Consider the following 14,867-nt stretch of genomic DNA (forward strand, 5'->3'; position numbering starts at 1 on the left):
CAGGTTCAAGTGATTCTCTTGCCTTAGCCTCCTGAGTAGGTGGGATTACAGGTGCCCACCAATGTGCCCGGCTAATTTTTGTATTTTTAGTAAAGAGTGGGTTTTTCCATGTTGGCCAGGCTGGTTTCGAACTCATGACCTTAGGTGATCTACCTGCCTCAGCCTCCCAAAGTGCTGAGGATTGCGGACATGAGCCACCATGCCTGGCTGAATTGAATTCTTAATTTGATTCTTAGCTTGGTCACTGTTGGTGTATAGCAGTGTTACTGATTTATGTACATTTATTTTGTATCCTGAGACTTTATTGAATTCATTTGTTAGGTCTAGGAGCTTTTCAGATGAGTCTTTAAGGTTTTCTAGGTATAGAATTATATCAGCAGTGAACAGCAACAGTTTGACTTCCTCTTTTCCAGTTTGGATGCCCTTTATTTCTTTCTCTTGTCTGATTGCTCTGGCCAGCACTTCCAGTACTGTGTTAAGTAGAAGCAGTAAAAGTGGGCATCCTTGTCTTGTTCCAGTTCTCAGGGGGAATGCTTTCAGCTTTTCCCTATTCAGTATGATGTTGCATATGGGTTTGTCATATATGGCTTTTATTACTTTAAGATATGTCCCTTCTATGCTTATTTTGAGGAAGGTTTTTATTATAAAGGAATGCTGGATTTATATATAATGATAAAAGGATTAGTCAAACAGGAAGATATTATGATCCTAAATTTATATGCACCTAGCACTGGAGCTTCCAAATTTATAAAACAATTACTACTAGACCTAAGAAATGAGATAAACAACAGTACAAATATAGTGGGGGACTTCAATACTCCACTGACAGCACTAGACAGGTCATCAAGACAGAAAGTCAACAAAGAAATAATGGACTTAAACTATACCCTAGAAGAAATGTACTTAACAGAAAATTGCAAAACATTCTTCCCAACAACTGCAGGATATACATTTTTTTTCATCAGCACATGGAACGTTCTCCAAGATAACCTATGATAGGTTACAAAACAAGTCCCAACAAATTTAACGAAATTGAAATCATATCAAGTATTTTCTCAGACCATAGTGGAATAAAACTGGAAAGCAACTCCAGAAAGAACACTTAAAATGATATAAATACATGGAAATTACATAATCTGTTCTTGAATGATTTGGTGGTTAACAATGAAATCAAGATAGGAATTAAAAATTCTTTGAAATGAATGAGAACAATGGCACAACTTATCAAAACTTCTGGGATACAGCAAAACTGGTGCTAAGAGGAAAGTTTATAGCATTAAATGCCTACGTCAAAAAGTCTGAAAGAACACAAATAGAAAACCTAATGTCATACCTGAAGGAACTAGAGAAACAAGAACAAACTAAACTGAAACTCAGCAGAAGAAAAGAAATAACAAAGATGGAAGAGAACTAAATGAAATTGAAACAAAAAATACAAAAGATAAATGAAATGAAAAGCTGGTTCTTTGAAATGATAAACAAAGTTGATGACCATTAGGGAGATTAACCAAGAAGAGAAAAGATTCATATAACCTCAAGTAGAAATGAAACTGGAGATAGTACAACCAATACCACAGAAATACACAAGATCATTCAAGGATGTTATAAACACCTTTACATGCACAGACTAGAAAGTCTAGAGGAGATGAATAAACTGCTGGAAATATACAACCCTCCTAGACTAAATCAGGAAGAAATAGAAACCTTGAACAGACCAATAACAAGCAGCAAGATTGATCAGTGATTAAAAAAACAAAACAAAACACTGCCAACAAAAAAAGAATCGAGAACCAGATGGATTAACAGTTGAAATCTATCAGACATTCAAAGAAGAACTGGTTATCAATCCTACTGGAACTATTCCAAAAGATAGAGAAAGAGGGAATCCTCCATAAATCAGTCTATGAAGCCAGTATCACCCTAATACCAAAAGGAGGAGAGGACATAACAAAGCAAACAAACTACAAACCAATATCCCCGAACATAGATGCAAAAATCCCCAACAAAATACTAGCTAACTGAATCCAACAGCATATGAAAAAGATAATGCATCATGAACAAGTGGGTTTTATATCAGGGATGCAAGGATGGTTTAACATACACAAGTCAATAAATGTGATACATCACATAAACAAAATTAAAAACTATACGATTATATCAATAGGTGTGAATCCCTCTTTAAATGTTTGGTAGAGTTAATCAGAGAAGCTATCTGGTCCTGAACTTTTTTGTTGTTGGTGGTAAGTTTTAATTACTGATTGAATTACTTCACTTGTTATAGGTCTATTCAGATTTTCTATTCTCGAGTCAATTTTGATAGATTGTGTGTTTCTAGGAATTTGCTAATTTCATCTAGGTTATCTAACTTGTTGGCATAAAATAGTTTGTAATTTTTTTTTTTTTTTTTGAGACGGAGTCTTGCTCTGTCACCCAGGCTGGAGTGCAGTGGCGCAATCTCGGCTCACTGCAGCCTCTGCCTCCCAAGTTCAAGCGATTCTCCTGCCTCAGCCTCCCAAGTAACTGGGATTACAGGCACCTGCCACCACAACTGGCTAATTTTTGTACTTTCAGTAGAGGCGGGGTTTCACCATGTTGGCCAGGCTGGTCTCAAACTCCTGACCTCAGGTGATCTGCCCGCCTTGGCCTCCCAAAGTGCTGGGATTACAGGCGTGAGCCACCACACCTGGCCTGAGCAATGATTTGACTACATTCATAATTTGGGTATATCATGTTTTCATTTTCATTTGGCTCAAAATATTTTCTAATATCCCTTATAACTTTTTATTTGACCTATAGGCTGCTTAAAATTGTGTTAATTTCTACATATTTGTAAATTTTCTAGTTTTTCTTCTGTTATTGATTTTTAGTTTCATTCTGTATTTGTCAGAGAAGATAATTTACATAACTTTATCTTTTTACATTTATTGAAACTTGTTTTATGGCCTACCCTGACACATGATCCACGTGCTTTGTGTATTTTGCAATTGTTTGGTGGAGTATTTTCTTTTTTTTTTCTTTTTGAGACGTAGTCTTGCTCTGTCGCCCAGGCTGGAGTGCAGTGCCGCAGATCTCGGCTCACTGCAAGCTCCGCCTCCCGGGTTCACGCCATTCTCCTGCCTCAGACTCCAAAGTAGCTGGGACTACAGGTGCCCGCCACCACACCTGGCTAATTTTTTTCTTGTATTCTTTAGTAGAGACGGGGTTTCACCGTGTTAGCCAGGATGGTCTTGATGTCCTGACCTCGTGATCAGCCCGCCTCGGCCTCCCAAAGTGCTGGGATTACAGGCATGAGCCACCGCGCCTGGCCTCGGTGGAGTATTTTCTATATGTCTGTTAGGTCTTGTTGATTTACAGTGTTTTTCAAGTCCTCTATTTCTTTATTGATCTTCTGTCTAGATGTTCTATCTGTTATTGAAAGTGACTGTTTGAGTCCATTTAGTGTTGCTGTAACAGACTACCTGTGACTGGGTAATTTATAAAGAGAAGAGGTTTACTTGGCCCATGATTCTGGTGACTTGAAGGTTCAAGATTGAGCAGCTGCATCTAGTGAGGGCCTCCCTCATGCTGCTTCCACTCATGGCAGAAAGTGGATGGGGTGTGGGCGTGTGCAAAGAGATCACGTGGTGAAAAAGAAAGCAAGAGAGAGAGAGATACACCCACTGACCCAAACACCTCCCAGTGGGCTCCTCCGTTTAGCACTGTTACATGGAGGAACAAGTTTCCACATGAGCTTTGGCAAGGCCAGGCCACATTCAAGTGATATGGGGCATATAATTTGCCAAATGCAGTGGGGTATTGAAGTCTCCAACAATTATTGTAGTACTATCTACTTCTTCCTTCAAGTCTATCGATGTTTGTTTCATGTATTTTGGAGTTCTGATTTTTGGTATCTATACAGTTATAAGTATTTTATATTCTTGATAAATTTATGAGTTATCAATATATAATGACCTTAATTCATTTCTTGTAACAATTTTTGACTTTGTTTATTTTTGCTTTGCGTATCTACTATAAGTTTTTATTTTGTAGTTACCATTAGGCTTACATAAAACCTCTTATAACGGACTGTTTATATTTGGTAACAACTTAACTTTGATCACATAGAAAAAAGTCTCCACTTTTACTCCATCCCCTTGCCCCCAATTTATGCTTTGATGTCATAATTTATATTTTTAATTGTATATCCCTTAGCAAATTATTATAGCTATTATTTTTAATACATATTTATTTAATCTTCATACTAAAGACACAGATGATTTACTTACCATCACTGCAGTATTAGAATATTCTGAATTTGACTGTGTACTTACTTTTAGCAGTGAGTTTTATACTTTCTCATGTTTCCATGACACCAATGAGCATTCTTTTCTTTCTTTCAGCCTGAAGAGCTTCCTTTAGGATTTCTTGTGAGACAAGTCAGCTTTTATTTGTCTGGAAAAGTCTTTATCTCACTTTTATTTGTGAAGAACTGCTTTGGCAGGTACAGTATTCTTAGTTGGCATATTTTTTTCTTTGAGGCTTTGAATATATCATCTTGCTCTCTCCTGCCATGTAAGGTTTTTGCTAAGAAATATGCTGCTAGCCTTATTGGAACTCTCATATATGTGATTTATTTCTATTCTCTTGCTGCTTTTAGGATTCTCTCTTTGTCTTTGATTTTTGATAGTTTGATTATAATACATTTTGTTATAGTCTTGTTTGGATAGAATCTGATTGGAGACATTTGGTCCTTATACCTTGATATTATTCCCCAGGTTTAAGAATTTTTTAGTGATTATTTCTTTAAACAATGTTGTCCTAGGGGCTGGGTGTGTGGGTGTTGGCCTGGAGGCTAGGACCATTAGGGTTGACCTTTGTCTGGGGGCTCCAGGTGCTGGCCTGAAACCTGAGTCTACAGGGGTCATCTTGGAGCCTGGGTCCATGGGGGCTAATCCAGTGCTGGAGTCTGCCAGGAAGAAACTGGGCTGTGGCTCTGCTGTAATGTGTGGCTGCAGGGGAAAATATGAAGAGTGGGTCTGTGGGTGCCTGTTTGGAGATGAGAGCTGTAGCGGTTGGCCTGGTTCTTGGGTAGGTCTGAATCCTGGGACCATGGGGACCAGCCTGGTGCTGCAAGCAGTCCAGAGCCTTTGGCTGCCTGGCCCTGGGGTGGGCCTAGAGCCTGAGTCTGTGGGGGATAGCCTGGAGTTGGGGTTTGTCCAAAGTCTGGGGCTACTGATCAGCTACAGTCAGGCTACTACTCCAACTGTCCTTTCTATCTCTTTAGTGCATCCTTTCTGAAATCTCCTACCTGGTTTCCTTAGTTCTTGTGAAGGTGGTTTTATGCATGGATAGTTGTTCCAATTGATGTTTCTGCAGGGGAGCAAGAGCTAGAAAGTCCTATTCACCATCTTCCTTACAGCCTTCTGCCCCAAGGCTGCAGTACTCTTCAATCACATGTTTTATGTTACCTCTTTCTTTTCTCCAGCCATTTGGAAATAATTACCAAGAGCTACTTTTTTTGGCCAGGTATGCAATTTTTGTGAACCAATGCTGTTCTAACTGATTCTAACTCAAGAGGCGAGAAAAGCCCAGATGCCCCTAATTGGATCCATGGTTGTACTGTGCTGTATTTCCAGGACTTGTGCAAAGTTTAATACTATTACTCATCAGTTTTATTTTACCTCCTATTTTTCTCATTCTTTGCATGGATTTACGGAGGCACTTTCCTGACTTTTTCATTGTGGGCTGTGTTGTAGTCACCTTGGATTGATCTCTGGCCCTTTGGTCATTGTGTGCTTTGAGTCTGCATGGTGAGTCCCAGTTTTATTTCATGCATGAGCTTCATTGACAGAAAATCATTATACCTTATTTCCTTGCTTCATGCTTGGAAGATGTGGATTTGGCCTTCATATTCCTGACTGGATACTTTAAATGAGTCAGATGCATCTGCTTTAGATAGGTATTGACTAAGGAGAAGTAAGGGAATAATCTGTAAAACTCAACCCAAAATGAAGTCTTTTTTCTTGCTAGAGGCATATTATTTATTTGGATAGATTAAGATTTTCCTCTACATGTTTAAGAAGTTAATCTCAATTTGGATGTGATTAGTAATAATTTCAAATCTATATTTCACTTGAGTTTCTTGCAGTGTAATTATGTTTGTTGTCTGTTTGGGAATACTAAAACAATCATTTTATTGTAGTATATTTAATACTTTTACCATATTTCTTCTTACTTAAACGAATACATATAAATAACAACCATGAGAATCTCAAGCATATTTGAAATATTTTAATATCATTATGAAAGTAGAAAGATAAAATTAGAGTGCTCCAAAAATATTTAAAAATTCTAGTCCAATATCCTCATTTAGAGAAAGAAACCGAGGCCCAGAAATGTAAAAGCAAGTGAATAAAATTAGTGGTATGGCCAGAATTAGGTACTTTGTTCATGAAAATATTTAGACATTTTTGAGGTGAGTTAGGACTGGCAGGGCACGGAGGGACACTGTTGTCATAAAACTATGAAGGACCTACCAAGGAAAAAATACCTCTAGGGGTCTCTGTTTATTGAGTTCTAAAAAAATACCCATACTATATTTGGTTGGCTAATAACATATAAATGGATTTTAATTGGTAAGTGTTTGGGGCATTTCTTTTTCTCTGTTCTTTCCCTTCCTTCTCCACACATCTATCCCAAGGCACAGGCATTTTATTTTGCATTTTGGACCTGCTGTCTGTTTGACAGTGTCCTCTTTTGATTTATTTATTATTGTTGTTTGCAAAGAAGAGGGAAATTTTGAAGCATGAACTTGCTGTGCTACCTTGATTTGGAGGTCTCCTGGCCCAGTGTGGAAAAAGTTAAAATCATCTGACATATGTTTATATATATTTAAGCATCTCAGTTGGCTTCATTTGTGCAATGAGGTCCCAAGATCCACTCAAACTCCTACTTACATACAGGAAAGAAAAAACATCTGCTGCTTTGACTAAAAGTTCCTCCTGGCCTTCCCTGTGAAACTCAGGTGAAACCTCCAGCCAACAGAATTGTAACAGAGTCATTCTATTACACCAAGAAGCCTGTGAGCTCACAGGGGGAGGAAATACTGCAGCAGGATATGCAGTTGGGAGGATCTTCCTGCCCACAAGAAAATACAAAAAAAGTGGAATTAATCATCTTCATCTTTTCACAGAATTTGCTAAGAAATTAAATTCAAATTAACACACTCATAGTTTTTGCCTACCATGTTCAAAACACTCCTGGTGCTTATGAGAGACGTGGTCTTTTAGAGGGCACAGTTACCATAAGGCAGCCACACCAGCAGGCTGGGTACTTACATTAATGATAAACCTATTATGCTCTTTCCCCATGAAAACAGATCTGGACCCTCACCTCCCCCACTACCGCTGTCACAGGCTCCTGGAATTTCCCTCTCTCACCCCTACCCTTCACCACTTTTGTGAATGTTCCTCAATCTGACTCCATCTTCCATCAGTCTTCTCCTCTTCAAACCCTTTCTCTGTGCTCTGTGGAATTCCTGATCAGTATAGTTTTCATATAGACATCCTTTACTTAAACCTTCTCTCCCATTTCTTGCCTTAATTGAAAATTGGCCTCTCTCTAGTCATCATCCCCCCTCCAATTCCATAGGCCTCATTACGACTTCCAAATCATTTCTTCTTTTTCTACCCTTGAAAAGCCTGGCACCTCTGATGTTTGTACCACTTACCAGTGTCACAATATTACCATATTACCCTCTTTGTGTTAGAGCTTCCCAGAGAAACAAAGCCAATAGGACACACACACACACGCACACACCCGCACACACATACACACACACACAAGTGTATTTATAATTAAATAAGAAATATATAGATATGACGGCCAGGCGCGGTGGCTCACGCCTGTAATCCCAGCACTTTGGGAGGCCAAGGAGGGCAGATCACGAGGTCAGGAGATCGAGACCATCCTGGCTAACACTGTGAAACCGCATCTCTACTAAAAATACAAAAAAAATTAGCCGGACATGGTGGTGGGCGCCTGTAGTCCCAGCTACTTGGGAGGCTGAGGCAGGAGAATGGCGTCAACCCGGGAGGCAGAGCTTGCAGTGAGCCGAGATCACACCACTGCACTCCAGCCTGGGCGACAGAGAGAGATTCCGTCTCGGAAAAAAAAAAAAAAAAGAAAGAAAGATATATATGTGACAAAGTTCTCATTTCTATAATTTGTCTTGTGGCTGTAGTTAGTGTTTATAATTAGCTTCTTCCTTTAACAGTTCACTATTGCTGTTTCCTCCGGTAAGCCCTCTAGCACTACATGGCTCTTTGCTTTACGTGGTGGCCCAAACCTTCATTCCTGAAGGGTCTAGGCCATGAGTGTTCCTGCCTGGATTGGTTTGTTGTAGTTTTCCATCAACCTTAACCACCAGGCATGATAATATTGAAAGGTGCCTCGAGGGACCTCCTATGTTCCAGACATACTCTTCTTTATCTCCATTGTGGAATAGTAGTCCAATTTTCTCTTGGTAGTCAGGATTAATCACCCCAACCAGCACAATAACTCCCTTCTTTGCCAGTTGATTCAGAGGCATGAGTAACCCAAAGTGGCCAGGTGACTTTCTTAACCTCCAGTTCAGTAGAGTCGTTGTTGCGTCTCCTGGTGGGAGCATTCATCCCTCTGTTACTATAACCTCTAGGTAGTTACTATATCCTCTATAGTAGAGCATAAGATTGTGAAAACAGGAAGTCAACATTTGCTACTGAGTTGCTAGGGGTAATGGTGAGTGGTTTTCCAACACAATGAAGTCTTAGGCAGTATACCACTCCGAAATCACTTGATCAGAGATTTCCAGCACTCACTGGGGGCATTTCTGAAATTGTGGAGGCTGAGAATCTTCTGTCTTGTGTCTGTAAGACAGAGACCCAGGAAAGCTGGTGGTATAGTTCCAGTCTGAGTCCGAAAGCCTGAGAATCAGGAGCACTGATGGTGTAAGTCTGAGTTCAAGGACAGAAACCAAGCAATGTCCTGGATCAAGCAGTCAGGCAGGGAAAGGCAGAGACAGAATTCTCACTTCCTCTGACATTTTTGTTCTATTCAAGTCCTCAGTGGATTGGATGGGGCCCACTCACATTGAGGAGGGCAATCTGCCTTACTCAGTACGCCAATTAAAAAGTTAATGAGATATATACCTCTTTTGAAAACACCCTCACAGACATGCCCAGAAATGTTTAACCCACTATCTGGGCATCCTGTGGCCCAGTCAAGCTGACACATGACAGTAACCGTCACACTCATCCTCCTCCCTTCGAACTGCTTTCTCACTGCCCCTCAGTGACTGGAGCCATTAGCACCTCTCTGCTTCACCTCTCATCTCATCTCTCAAAGCCACGTTTAAAATGTTACTGTATACATTACATGTCTTTGTGAAAATCAGTATGCTGAGCTATGGAGAAAAAAAGTATTTCAGAGAAGTGTGAAACAAACTGAAATTTAAAATTTAAAACATTACATGAATTGTGGATTATCAGAATTCACTTAAAATATTTCCATAGGTAAAAGAGAATGCTTGATTATGTCACATTTAAATACTGTTCTTTAGTTTTTATTTTAATCGGGACAATTTACATTAAGCACTGGTAAAGCAATTTCAAAATTTCTGTAGGTTAAAACAACAAAGGGGCTAGGCGCAGTGACTCATGCCTGTAATCCCAGCACTTTGGGAGGCCGAGGCGGGTAGATCATGAGGTCAGGAGTTTGAGACCAGCCTGGCCAACATGGTGAAACTCCTTCTCACTAAAAATACAAAAATTAGCCGGGTGTGGTGGCGGGCGCCTGTAATCCCAGCTACTTGGAAGGCTGAGGCAGGAAAATTGCTTGAACCTGGGAAACAGAGGTTGCAGTGAGCTGAGATTGTGCCGCTGCACTCTAGCCTGGGTGACAGAGCAAGACTCCGTCTCAAAAAAAAAAAGAAAAAAAAAAAGGATTATTTCTCATTCATGCTAGATGTCCAGTGAGGGTGGATGGGGAGCTCTGTTTCACACTGACACTCAGGAGTCTAGGCTGACAACGGCTCCATCCTCTTGTCACTGCTTCTGGTGGAATTTGTGGCCTTTCTGGTCGCTGCAGCAGGAGAAAGAGAACAGAGAACCACACTGGGACTTTGACAGCATTGGCCTCACTTTTGCTCACATTTCATTGATCAGAACTAGTCATGAGGCCCTGCCTAATGTTAAGGGCTGGGAAATGCAGGCTTGCCTATGCACAAGCATCACTACTGCCCAGCAGAGTCTTTTTTTTTTTTTTTTTTAAGACAGAGTCTCCCTCTGTCACCCAGGCTGGAGTGCAGTGGTGCCATCTCAGCTCACTGCAAGCTACACCTCCTGAGTTCATGCCATTCTCCTGCCTCAGCCTCCCAAGTAGCCCGCCACCACACCCGGCTAATTTTGTTTTTGTATTTTTTTTAGTAGAGATGGGGTTTCACCGTGTTAGCCAGGATGGTCTCCATCTCCTAACCTCATGATCCGCCTGCCTTGGCCTCCCAAAGTGCTGGGATTGCAGGCGTGAGCCACCACGCCCAGCCTGCCCAGCACAGTCTTGTTAAACAGCTCTCATGTCCTGTGGAGTCCTGTCATGACACATGGGAACATGCGTGTCATGATAGGACTCCACATATAGGACTCCACATATAGGAGTAAAGGAGAAACGTGAGTTGATCAGTGAAATGAAGATGAAGGACAGGGTGAACCTCAGAGCCTGAGGTTGAAGGTTAAGTCTGTGATATCAGCAAGCATGTGGAAAGAACACACTTTCCTGGTGGAGGCACATGTGGAGGCTTTGATGGGCAATCAGGAGGTTTTAGGACAGCTGTGAGCAGTTCTGCTTTTTTTTTTTTTTTTTTTTTTTTTTTTGAGACAGAGTCTCGCTCTGTCTCCCAGGCTGGAGTGCAGTGGCTGGATCTCGGCTCACTGCAAGCTCCGCCTCCTGGGTTCACGCCATTCTCCTGCCTCAGCCTCCAGAGTAGCTGGGACTACAGGCACCCGCCACCACACCCGGCTAATTTTTTGTATTTTCAGTAGAGAAGGGGTTTCACCGTGTTAGCCAGGATGGTCTGGATCTCCTGACCTCGTGATCCGCCCACCTCAGCCTCCCAAAGTGCTGGGATTACAGGAGTGAGCCATCGTGCCCAGCCTGTTGGGTCACATTTTATAATACATTTGCTGAGGTCTATTTTGTGATCTGTGAGTATGCACTGTGGTGGTGGCAGTAAAATACATCAGTGGGAGTTTTCCTGCAGAGCTCTTGATCCATGCGGGGTGTATCACAATTGCACAGTAAATATTGATTTCATTGAGAAGAAAGAAAAATCTGATAAGAAATAAAATGAACCAATAAATATTTTCTCTACGTATGTGTGGTAGACAGAATTCGCAATGTGATCCCATGATTTCATACCCGAATCCCTCAGAGCCCACAAGAATAGGGAATCCCATGACTATGTTGTGTCATATGGCACAGTTGACTGTAGAGTAGGGACACTATCTGGTGGGCCTAATGTCATCACACAGTTTCGAAGCAGAGTGTTTTTTTTGACTGGTAGAAGAAGTCAGAGAGATTCAGAGTATGAGAATGACGCAGTGTGTACTGCTGTTCAGAAACGGAGGGAGCCAAGAGAGCAGGAATGAGGGTGGCCTGAAGGGTGCAAGACAGGTCCTGGCTGGCAGCCAACAAGGAAACCAGGACCCCAGTCCTCCAATGCCAGGAATTTAATCCTGCCAATAGCAGGAGTAAGCTTGGAAGAGGAGCCTGGGGTCTAGGGAAGAAAACATTAACTTACATCTTTATTTCAGCCTTGTGAGACTGAGCAGGCGGTCCAGCCGCTGCATCCTGGAATTCTTGCCATTATCACACTCGTATGTGAAATAATAAAACCGTGTGTTAGCTTCTGTATTGAATAAACTGAATAAACTTCTCAACTTTGCTTTCCTTCTCCAGTTTCCTCTCCCCACCCCTACAGTATCATTCTTTATGGAAGACATATTAAATTTCTCTTTAAAACAACATTGCTTTGAAATATAAAAAACAGCATATGTCAACTGTTTTTTTACAATAAGAAGTACTATAACCAGACTTTTTTAAAAAAATGATATTATCCTGCTTAGCTCACAAAAACATTTTGATTATTTGGGCTGTTAAATTTTACGTGTCATGTTCAGTAAATCAATTAGGTTCTTAAGAAATCTCCTGCAGATTGTCAGATTGAAGAGATCATAACCCAGAAGGAAATAAGCCTGCACTCCTAAGACAATCAGTGCTTCTAATGAGAAAAGTGACTGACAGATAAGGTGGGAAGATTGGCCTCACCTCATGGGGCAGCTCTGCTGTTCTTGCCCATCCTGATGTTTTTGGATAACAAGGAAAGTGTATTCAATTTTTTAGCTCCCCCTTTTAAAAAAGCAGTGGAAGCTTGTAATCAAAGACAATCATGTTGGGGTCCGGTAGGAGTCACCCCATCGCATTCATCACACTCATCAACCAAAGGGAGGAGGCCTCTCCCTGAGTTCCTGCTTGAGGAACATGGCTGGAAAAGTAGGGAGAATGGAAGCTGATGCCAAAAACAAAAACAGGAGAGAGAAAGAAATGCCTCTGTTTGGTGCTTCGAAACACTCGATTTAATCTGTGCATGTAGGTGGGGAAAGCATTTGTCCATTTTTAATTTCTGTAGTTAATCCAGGAGCCTCCAGAATAGGCTTATGGTTTGGAGTGACCTTGAATGGTGACAAGAGTATATTTTATTTGCATGGCTCTCCCCACTTTACCAATTACTTTCTCATAGGAGTCGCTTGTTTCTCACCCATGAAATTGTTAGGTTTTGTTAACTTTTCAGTCTTGAGATTAGAAGAGGCTTTAATGTGCTAGAAGCACAACTGCACTTTTGATTCATGAATTTTTTTTTTTTTTTTTGAGACGGATTCTCGCTCTGTCGCCCAGGCTGGAGTGCAGTAGGGCGATCTCGGCTCATTGCAAGCTCCGTCTCCTGGGTTCAGCCATTCTCCTGCCTCAGCCTCCTGAGTAGCTGGGACTACAGGCACCCACCACCACGCCTGGCTAATTTTTTTTGTATTTTTTTAGTAGAGACGGGGTTTCACCGTGTTAGCCAGGATGGTCTGGATCTCCTGACCTTGTGATCTGCTTACCTCGGCCTCCCAAAGTGCTGGGATTACAGGCGTGAGCCACCGCACCCAGCCGATTCATGAATTTTCTATTCAGTTTCCAGCCTCTTCTGGAACACATTCAGCAATGGAGAGCTCCCTGCCTTTTGTAACTCTGGAGAGTTCAAGTTAATCCATTTATTGTTTGCTAGAAAATATAACCTTTTGAAAATATTTTCTTACTTTCCATTTTATTATTTATTTATTATTATTATTATTTGAGATGGAATCTCGCTCTGTCACCAGGCTGTAGTGCAGTGGTGCAATCTCGGCTCACTGCAACCTCCTCCTCCTAGGTTCAAGCAATTCTTCTGCCTCAGCCTCCCAAGTAGCTGGGACTACAGGTGTGTGCCACCACGCCCAGCTAGTGTGTGTGTGTGTGTGTGTGTGTTTGGTAGAGACGGGGTTTCACCATGTTGGCCAGGATGGTCTCAATCTCTTGACCTCCTGATCCACCTGCCTCGGCCTCCCAAAGTGCTGGGATTACAGGTGTGAGCCACTGCACCCAGACCATTTTATCTTTTAACTGTCTGCAACAAAGACAGAAAATGACACCAACCTAAATCATTCCTGTTAGAGTTCAGGACCATCATCTCCCAAACTTTGGAGTGTCTGATTCCCTGTAGTCAATATGCAACGAGATTTCAGGCAAGTATTGTTTGAGGTCGACAGTAACTGTATCCAAAAGTTACCTTCCTAAACATATACAATTGTTTTAGAAATAAATGCCTACATTTTCTTTGAGTACCTGGGCTAACTGATGAAATCGGCCTTTCTGCCTCACCTTACAAAGGTACTTTACAAAGTTTGGGATTAATGTTGAGATGGGAAATCAACCCACACTAGATGCAAAAAAGCAGAGCTCACTGCCTGAAAATGTGAGGTGTGAGGCTATTCAATGGTTGTAATAAAAAATAAAAAATAAAAAAGATCAATGAAAGTGGGCTTAGAAGGGCCAGTGTCCAGGCAGCTCTGCTGTGGGAACTGTAGAATCCGGGTCATGGGAATGAGGAAGGAAAATGACTTGGGTATATTCCACAGAGTGGATCCTATTTTCAGAACATGCTTTCATTTCTTTTTGCATTTGACAGTTTATACTCAAGAATAAAATAGTCACCTCAAGGGCGTTAGGGAAGCAGAAGCCTAGGAGAGCCCGAGTGACACCATTTTAACATCAGCTCCGTCTTCAAGTTAGCAGGGTGCATTCCTTGCCAGTCATGACTCATGGTCCTAACATGTTCACATCCAAGGAAAGAGCGTGGTAATGCCTGCAAGGACAAACTCCTACAATAACAGGCAGTCCAGATGTCCCAATGCCCATAACAATATATGCTTTCAAGATAGTTGTAGTTACGCTTTGATGTACTCGTACACTAAAATGTCAAGGATCGTTTTCTTTAAATCAATAGAATAATAAATTTTGTCATTCTGTCAGTCCACCTGCACATAGGCAAAGCTTAGTTTATTCTTTACATAAAGAAGATGTATATGTAAGAAAAACTTAAAACAAAGATGGGGCATTCCTGTTCTTGCTTTCTGAGGATACCTTACTCTATAACCTAGAGGCTTTCAATAAACTCTCCCTTCCCACTTTATTCTGCAACTCACCTTGAATTCTTTCCTGTGTAAGATCCAAGAACACTCTCTTGGGGTTTGTATCAAGATCCCTTTTCTGGTAAA

The 14,867-nt window shown here is 41.2% G+C and overlaps 1 long non-coding RNA gene across 1 annotated transcript in view; it reads left to right on the plus strand.

The window, feature by feature from the left end:
* Nucleotides 1-4,328: 4,328 nt before the first annotated feature.
* Nucleotides 4,329-14,867, plus strand: part of LOC107987008 (uncharacterized) — a 69,179-nt gene continuing 58,640 nt past the window's right edge. Inside the window, exon 1 of the long non-coding RNA XR_001746516.1 lies at nt 4,329-4,480. This is a non-coding gene — a long non-coding RNA (uncharacterized LOC107987008). The remainder of the gene's footprint in view (nt 4,481-14,867) is intronic.

The sequence above is a fragment of the Homo sapiens genome, chromosome 9 (assembly GCF_000001405.40).
Source record: "Homo sapiens chromosome 9, GRCh38.p14 Primary Assembly".
In the NCBI taxonomy this organism is placed as follows: Eukaryota; Metazoa; Chordata; class Mammalia; order Primates; family Hominidae; genus Homo; species Homo sapiens.